The 9,391-nt window shown below is 39.4% G+C and overlaps 1 protein-coding gene and 1 pseudogene across 1 annotated transcript in view; one reads left to right on the top strand and one right to left on the bottom strand.

Annotated features, from left to right (window-relative positions):
* The first annotated feature begins 3,214 nt into the window (after positions 1–3,214).
* On the top strand, positions 3,215–4,623 carry LOC101929878 (splicing factor 45-like; annotated as a pseudogene).
* Positions 4,624–6,646: 2,023 nt separating this feature from the next.
* CNTNAP3C (contactin associated protein family member 3C) overlaps positions 6,647–9,391 on the bottom strand; it is a 131,026-nt gene continuing 128,281 nt past the window's right edge. The window contains exon 10 of the mRNA XM_011545672.4: positions 6,647–6,833. Within this exon, the coding sequence (XP_011543974.1) occupies positions 6,823–6,833 (11 nt within the window). The 3' untranslated portion in view covers positions 6,647–6,822. The remainder of the gene's footprint in view (positions 6,834–9,391) is intronic.

Raw genomic sequence — 9,391 nt, 5'->3', positions numbered from 1 at the left:
ACAAGAACAGTACTTATAAGAAGCAGTGGTGAGTGCCTGACTTTGACGTAAGCAGTATTACTCCACACCAGTCCAAGCATATAGGAAAGTAGTGTCTTGAACTTACTCCCACCCTCTTGAGTTACAATATATAACCTAATAATGGAACTCTAAGTTTGAAAAGTAAGGAAAAGGATGAAAGTACACACTCTAGTTAAAGAAAACACAATAACTGTAAAATCTTTTTATTTAAAGACAACTGTTTGTAGAAAGAGTCATATTAATTCAGAATAAAATCATAAGGCATTTGTCTAAGTCAGGAGTCTGCAAAGGTTTTCTGTAAAACGCAGATAGTAAACACTTTTGGTTTTGTGGGTCACACCTGGTTTCTGTTGCATGTCCTTCTTGTTATAACCCTTTAAAAATACAAAGCAGGGCTGGGCGCGGTGGCTCATGCCTGTAAACCCAGCACTTTGGGAGGCCAAGGCGGGCGGATCATGATGTCAGGAGATCGAGACCATCCTGGCTAATTCGGTGAAACCCCGTCTCTACTAAAAATACAAAAAAAAATTAGCTGGGCGTGGTGGTGGGTGCCTGTAGTCCCAGTTACTCGGGAAACTGAGGCAGGAGAATGGCGTGAACCCAGCAGGCGGAGCTTGCAGTGAGCCGAGATGGCGCCACTGCACTCCAGCCTGGGCAACAGAGCGAGACTTCTTCTCAAATAAAAAAAAATAAATAAATAAAAATACAAAGCAATTATTCATTTCGGCTTATATAATATGCCATAGACCGTGATTTGTCTACCTCTGATCTAAATGAATACTTAATTTTAACATACAAATATGAAAGAGGCACCTCATTTCATAATGGTGTAATGCCAATGACAAGAGAAATTGAATAATTAAATTGTATATTATGAAATTATATAGCTTTTAAAAATTTTATCCTTTGCCTTATTTTAAAAAAGAAGCCTGCTTATATTGATTCTGTAAGTATTGTCTCTTTCAAACTTGTGAGATATAATTTCTTACTTTCTTTTCCCAATCATTCAAATATTAGGTATTAAACCTAATATTGGCATGACACTGAGTCCACGCAAATACCCTTTTCTCCAAAGATTATAGTAAATATACATCAATATTTATCACTAGAGGATTGAGTTTTCTTTACAGTGTTCATTAAAATGAAAAAAATGAAGTATAGAATTTGTACTTATGTGTTTTTCATTGACCTCTCTTTGACCTTATACTGTTAATCACTAGCACAATTTCAAAAAATAGTCAATGAAGATTCCTCTTACTGGAATAAATGAAGCACCCCTCAATGCCTGTACTCTTATTTCCTCCCTGAAAGTTCCATAAAAATTAAATGTTGTGTTTAGATTTCTATTTTAATAACTGAAGCTTTATCTCTTTAACTTTAATATTTTCTGCTTTAGATTTCTAAAGTAAAAGCCTCCCTCATATTTAAGGCTTCTTTTTAGCTTATCGAAACTATACATAACCTCACAGACACTTGGAAGTTTAACATTTAACACCATATTTGTTTAAAAGTTTGAAGACTAAAATCTTTTATATTTTTATATTTACAAAAGAAATATAAGTTTAAATGGTACAGCAGAACCTTCTGAAGAATGGGATAGAGAGTGAACTTTGTATAATTCTACTGCATCTCACTAATCATTAAGAAATAAACACATTAAGTTAAGAATTAAGAGGATTATTAATTCAATAAATATTTTCCAGTAATGAATTATAGGAATATCAACAGTTCTGCTAATCTTTCTTTCACCATGTGGTGTTTCCTGACACATAACTTAGGTTATCTTTTTTTTTTGAGACCTGAGTCTCGTGCTGTTGCCTAGGCTGCAGTGCAGTGGTGTGATCTCTGCTCACTGCAAGCTCCACCACCCAGGTTCACAGCATTCTCCTGCCTCAGCCTCCCGAGTGGCTGGGACTACAGGCACGCGCCACCACACCCTGCTAATTTTTTTTTTTTGTATTTTTTTTCAGTAGAGACGGGGTTTCACCATATTAGCCAGGATGGTCTTGATCTCCTGACCTCGTGATCCACCTGCCTCGGCCTCCCAAAGTGCTGGGATTACAGGTGTAAGCCACAGCGCCCAGCCAGGTTATTCTTAAAAGAAAATGAATTCAATAACTCTGTTAGAAAAAAAAACTAAAATCCAGGTGTCCCGCAAAAAGTTATGAAACTTTCAGGACAAATTCTAATCATAAAGTACTGCATGGATATGAAATCAAACAAATAAAGATATTAAGACCCATGAAAATTTTAGCCCGGTTATTTTAACTTGTGTAAGCATATGAGGTTGGCAAGAAAATTGTCACTGTGTGTTATTGCAGTGACAGACTTCAATGCAATGTTGCCACAAGTTCTCAGTCTAGCAGCTTCCTACAAGAAGGATGTGAGGACTGGCGACACAACAGTCAATTTTGTATTCTCAATATCATGGAAGGAGGCATGGCATTGAATAGCAGAAAGATTCCATAAAGGTAAGTTTAAAAGAATTTGACCTTCAGTCAATCTCTATTTCAGGCATGAATGCAAAAAAATGCAGGCTATATGCACAACCTGCAACCGTACAGAGTGCTGCTTGAAAAACACTTCAAAAAGATGAAATCACAGACCAGAAAAAAAAGAATGGACAAATGACAGTACAGAAGGTAAGTCTGCATCTGCGAATTAGACTTTCTCTTTCTTTCTCTCTCTCTCTCTTTCTTGACAGAGTCTCACTCTGTTGCCAGGCTGGAGTGCAGTGGCACCATCTCGGTTCACTGCAACCTTTGCCTTCCAGGTTCAAGCAATTCTCCTGCCTCAGCCTACCCAGTAGCTGGGACTACAGGCTCCCGCCACCATGCCCAGCTAATCTTTGTATTTTTAGTAGAGACAAGGTTGCACCATGTTGGCCAGGCTGGTCTTGAATTACTAACCTCAGATGATCCACCCGCCTCAGCCTCTCAAAGTGCTGGGATTACAGGTGAGAGCCACCGCGTCTGGCCTAAACTTTCTATTAAAATAAATCTAGGAGATCCAGAAATCCACAACCACCAGTGATTGTTCCAAGTCTCTCAAGGTTTCTTTGGTGCAAATAACATTTTCCATTTATCTGGCATCAGGAAATTGGTGGGTTTTTCTTCTTCTTCATTTCTTCATATTAACCTGGCTACCCATGGGTAGAGTCAGCAGGGCAACATTAAATAGAAAAAAAAAAAAGATGCCCCCATACGATGGCCTGAGAGTGGAGACCAGTGACTCAAAAGCAGAAGGCTGGTTCCAAAACATCAAACTTCTGCAGTCTCAGCTTCAGGTGAGGAAGGCAGCTCTCACTCAGGGAAAGAGCCAAAGTTAGAAACAGTGCAGCTCTTGCCAGTCATTGACCTAAGGCCAGGCGGCTCCTCAGATGACCTGCAAATTGGGGACACACCACGGCATGCAGCAGCTGGGCTGAAGGATCCTGCTCCCAGTGGATTTTTGCAGGGGACATTCTGATTCCCTTAGCTGACGAATATGATCCTATGTTCCCTTATGATTATGAGAAAGTAGTGAAGTGCCAGAGAGAGGAACGACAGACACAGCAGGAGCTAGAAATATGAAAGGAAATAGAAGAAAGGGAAAAGAGGCCTGAAGACAGGCAAGAAGTTAGGGGAGTTCTGATCAAGGCGACCAAATCCAGATTCTGATGAAGGGGAAGATTAGGAGGGAGAGAGGAGGAAAAGTAGTAGGGTGGAGCTGCCATTGCCCTTCCCACTTCTCTGGTAGAGAAAGACCAAGAGTCACCCCGAGATTTTCCTTATGAAGAGGATTCAAGACCTCAGTCATGGTCTTCCAAAGCAGCCATTCCTCCCCCAGTGAAGGAGGAACAGGACAGACTGAGATCTCCAAACCGGCCTAGCAGCTCCTTCCTCGCTAACGTGGTGGGAACGGTGGCGCACAACATCATGCAGAAGCGCGGCTTCCGGGAAGGCCGGGGCCTCGGGGAGCACCTGCAGGGGCCGCGAGATGCCTTTCCGGTGGGGAAGACTAGCAGATCAGGCGGCAAGATCATCGTGGGCGACACCGCAGAGAAAGATGCATTGAAGGATCAGGTACAAATCCACTGACTGAAATACTTGAGTCCTACTAAGGTGGTCCTACTAAGGAACATGGTTGGCGAAGGGGAGGTGGAAGAAGACTTGGAAGTTGAAACCAGAGAAGAATGTGTGATGACATATTTTTCAGTTGATATGGTTTCCTATGAGACATAGCATCATTAAGGATAAAATAAGTGAAACTGAAAAGAGTATAGTTAATCTAGTTTTCATAATGAGTTCATTCTATTATGTTTCTTTTTCTTTTCCATTGTCAATTTATATTGGCTCAGAGAAAACAGGCTTGATGGATAAAGTCCATGGTATTTCCCAATTTTGCCATGAAAAATATGGCAAAGTTGGAAAACGTGTGATATGTGAAATTCTTGGTGTCCCTGATGATGAAGCAGTACAGACCTTTTTAGAATTTGAGAGTTGAGTCAGCAATTAAAGCTGTTGTTCACTTGAATAGAAGGTATTTTGGTGGACAGGTGGCAAGAGGATGTTTTTACATTTGTACAAATTCAGCATCTTGGATTTGGTGGAACAAGTTTGATTTTAAGAACTAGAGCATGAGTCATCTCTGGTGACCCTTAAATGACCAGCAGGCTGAGAAAAGAAGGAAAAAGCTCACAGCCTCCATGGCTGTTAGATACTGAGACTCTTGGAAGGACCTCCAAGGTATACGTTGATTGATCCCTTTTCATTTTGTGGTTTTTAAATATTGTATAAAAATCCAAATCCTTTTTAATAAATAAATAAAATGTGCAGCTGACTAGTTTCAATCATTGGTAGATATTATACTGTAGGAATGAAGTTAGTGTCTGCAGCTGTACATATTCAGGCCATTCTAAATATATAAGCTAGTTAGGAAGAAAATACTGTGGATTTTATCCATCAAGCCTGTTTTCTTCAGGCCAGTATAAAACAAATGGAAAGGAAAAAGAAACATAATGAAACAAACTCATTATTAAAACTGGATTACAGGATTAATTTTAATGTTTTCAGTTTCACTTATTTGACTCTTAGTGATGCTATGTGTCATAGGAAACCATATGAACAGAAATATCCCAAGAAGTAAATTTGCTTAGAAAACAGAAAAGGGCTTATTAGTCTCTTTCAGTGCACTGCACAGCATTCAAGAAGAATTTGGGTCATGTGGTCTTTAAATTACTAAAACGAGTAATGAATACTAGCGGAACCAAAGGCTGTTTCTATGTGAAGAAATGATCTATTTTGGGTTTACATACATCAGTAAAATTTAACAACCAGCTTATGCTGTTAAACATGGTGGTTAGAGCTGGTGTTTCCCGAAGTTTACTATACAGATGGGTAAATAAAGTTACAAAAACACACACAAGGAATGCAAAATTCACTGGAAAAACTAGGTATGTTAAGAATATTTTAAAAACTAAATTTTAGGCTGGGCATGGTGGCTCATGCCTGTAATCCTGGCACTTTGGGAGGCTGAGGTGGGTGGATCACCTCAGACCAACCTGAACAACATGGCAAAACTCTGTCTCTACAAAATACGAAGAAAAACAACAACAACAAAAATTAGCTGGGTGTGGTGGTGCAGGCCTGCAGTCCCAGCTACTCCAGAGGCTGAGGTGGAAGAAGTGCTTGAGCTTGGAGAGGCAGAAGCTGCAGTGAGCTGTGATTGCTTCATTGCACTCCAGCCTGGGCAACAGAGTGACTCCCTGTCTAAAAAAAAGCAAAACAACGAAACACCACCCCCCTAAATTTTATAAAGCAAATCTAAAAGCAAAAATGAAAATTGCCTAACAATAGCAAAATGGGACAGTAGAACTGATAAAATGTGGTATATTCATGTAACAATATATACATTCTTTTGAAAAATTAGCAATATTTTTAACTGTACATATATGATCTATTTCACAGTAAAAATGAATAAAATTATGATATGCATAAAAATAACACAAAAACATTTCTCACATTAGCATGTATATATTTATGGAAATGGGCTCTTGAATAACAGGACGTTATAAAATCTCACCTGTAGAATTTAAACCCTAAAGGTGATACTATATTTATACTTTGACAAATCATTTTCTGTAATCAACTTTATTTAGTATCACTTAAAAAAATGAATAGTACTTTCATTCTTATCCCTTTTAGTGCTTCCTAAATATTTTACTTTTGAAATGATAGGTCTTGGATATATTGGCTTGTTTTTTGTTATAAAATCTGTCATCTATAGCAAATGTTTTAATACAATTTGAGGCACATATGCACACCTCGGAATATGAGGAAAGAAAACAATCAGAAACTTTGCAGATTGACATTGTCTGTTTTCACAGTTGCTCTGTGGAAAGTTTGCTCTGAAGGACTGTTAGAGTTTAGAAAATGAGTTTTATAATTTCCATGCTGACAGCCAATTTTAGGGATGAATTTTACTTTTTTTTTTGAGACGGAGTCTCACTTTGTCACCCAGGCTGGAGTGCAGTGGCGCAGTCTCAGCTCACTGTATAAGCTCTGCCTCCCAGGTTCATGCCATTCTCTTGCCTCAGCCTCCTGAGAAGCTGGGACTACAGGCGCCCACCACCATGCCCAGCTAATTTTTTTTTTTTGTATTTTTAGTAGAGACGGGGTTTCACCATGTTAGCCACGATGGTCTCAATCTCTTGACCTTGTGATCCACCCGCCTAGGCCTCCCAAAGTGCTGGGATTACAGGCGTGAGCCACTGTGCCTGGCCGAATTTTACTTTCATATTGTGCTGTCTCCAACATAATTTTAAAAGGATTCTGGAAAAAAAAATAGTAAAATGCAAAACTATACTAATACTCTCAAGAAGCACCTCAAGCATTGATTAGCAAATGTATCTTATTATTTACAGAGTTAAATGACATTTCTAATGACCAAGGACTTTCTGAGTAAACATCCCTGGGGAGAAGATTTATTGCACCCTTCTGTGACCTCCCCACTCTGACTGCCCTCTCTTAGGCTGCAGTGTCTCTTGGCTGTACTCAATCATTGACTGAGCTGGCAAATATTCTGTTTATTATTGTCTAGGAAAGGCTGATGCGCTCCCTGACTTGGTAAAATGTTTCACTGCATCATTACTGGGCAATAAAAATAAGTTGAAATAACCGACTGAGTAAAACTATTAGGCACTTTGGGCAAAGCATGGCCTTTCTTCATGCCGCAGTGGGAAATCAATAAGATGCTCCAGAGGAGCCGAGTCTCTGGGGATACCTGTATGGTGCAATAAAACCAGCACATAAAGCAGTGGAAAAGGTAACGGCACTCATTTCGCACTGTTACAATTCCGTTGGGCAGAATGATGAAGGGAAGCTCCATAAAGGGTGGTCTATTTAAAATCGGTTCCTGAGTGTGATCTTTTATTTAGGCCTATCTGGAAGACATGCATTTCAGTCCTTAATTTGTAGTCTTTTTTCAACAACCCCATGAAACAAAAGGGATCCAGCATGGTGATACTGTTTCATGGTGATACAACCCCATGAAACAAAAGGGATCCAGCATGATGATCCAGCATGGTGATACATAATGATACTGTGTTATTTACCTGGAATTTGGTAAGAGAGCAGATTTGTAATGACTTCACTCCCCTCTGCCATCAACATGGTAACTATGTGTGATGTGATGGATGTGTTAATCAACTTGACTGTGGTAATCAGAACGCAGTGAATACCTATATCAAATCGTCACATAGTATACCTTAAATATACAGAATTTTTATTTGTCAAATAAATATTTTAATTTTTTTAAAAAAGGGATTTATGGCAGTGTAGCAGCAGTGGGTGGTAAGGTCTGGGTCAGGTTCAGCCCCAGGTGGGAGGTGGCGTCAGGGAGGAACCCAGTAAACAGCTCTGGCCTTGCAGGTGTAACACTTTAGGCCTCTGTCTTCCTGAGGCGTTGTTCCTGCATGTTGTCCCAGCGTCTTCCCTCTCTGTGTGTCTCTGCACCTCCATTTCCATTTTTCATAAGGACACTGGTCATATTGGATTGGAGCTCACCTTAATGACCTCATTTTAACTTGATTACCTCTGCAAAGATCTTATCTCCAAACAAGGTCACATTCTGGAGTTCATATGAATTTGAGGGAAAACAATTCAATCCATAATATCATCTCTGAAATAAGGACAACTTTACTTATGCATATACAATTTGGGTTGTGGTTGCTGCATATCTGTTTCAAATGGGTTATGGGCTCTTCTCACACTTTCAGGTCAAAGGGGACTTTGGAATCCATAGTGTACCTATGTATGCATATATGATCATGGATCAGCCTTCCCATTTCTGTCACTGTGTCCCTATATGGTTCATTATCATGTATGTTACTTCACTCGAAGGCCATACACAATCCAAACAAAATAAAACACAGAAACTGTGTTGGCTATTTTGACTTTCTGTTGAAACTATTCTCTTTGGTCATATATATATATTTTAAAAATATTATATATATATATATTTTTAAAAAACATTTTATATATATATATATTTTTTTTTCCAGTGATTATCCTGCCTCAGCCTCCCAAGTAGCTGGGATTACAGGCACCTGCCATCATGCCCGGCTAAATTTTTTTTGTGTGTGTATTTTTGTAGATACAGGGTTTCACCATGTTAGCCAGGCTCGTCTTCAACTCCTGATCTCAGGTGATCCGCCGGCCTCAGCCTCCCAGAGTGCTGGGATTACAGGCGTGGGCCACCACGCCTGGAGATAGATAGATAGATAGATATATATATATATATATATATATATATATATATATATATATATATATATATATATGTAATCTTTTTCAGTATATTCTCAGGGTGTGTTTGAGGAAAGCTTTTTTTTTTTTTGGCCATTGTCCAAGGGTTTAGAACTGAATGGGAATGTCTGTAAATGGATCTGATGGAGGTTGGAATGTGTATCAGCTTTTAATCATCACTGTAACAAATCACTAAAATATTCTCTTTATTATCTCTCACTTTAGAAGTGTGGGAGGGCTGGACTGATGACTCTGCTTATAGTCTTACAAGGACAAAATCAAGGTGCTCTTGGGCTCCTTATGAAGGCCCTAGGGCAGAATGTGTGTCCAAGCACATACAGGTTAGAGCAGAATTCAACTTCTTGTAGTTGTAGGAGTGAGGTCCCAATTCATCACTGGCTGGTAGTTGGGGCCTCTCAGCAATGTCAGGCTGCCTGCATTGCTCTTCATAGTGCCCAGTTCATTTTCTAAACCAGCAATGGTGCAGAGAGACATTCTCCTGCTTCTAGTTTCTCTGGCTTCCCCTCACCCACACCTCTCTTCTGTGTCTCTTCTGCCTCCAACCAGAGTTAAATCTCTTAAGT

Source organism: Homo sapiens, chromosome 9, assembly GCF_000001405.40.
Source record: "Homo sapiens chromosome 9, GRCh38.p14 Primary Assembly".
NCBI classification, from domain to species: domain Eukaryota; kingdom Metazoa; phylum Chordata; class Mammalia; order Primates; family Hominidae; genus Homo; species Homo sapiens.
Note: the sequence above shows the minus strand (reverse complement) of the source record. Positions and strands in the feature narration are given on the sequence as shown.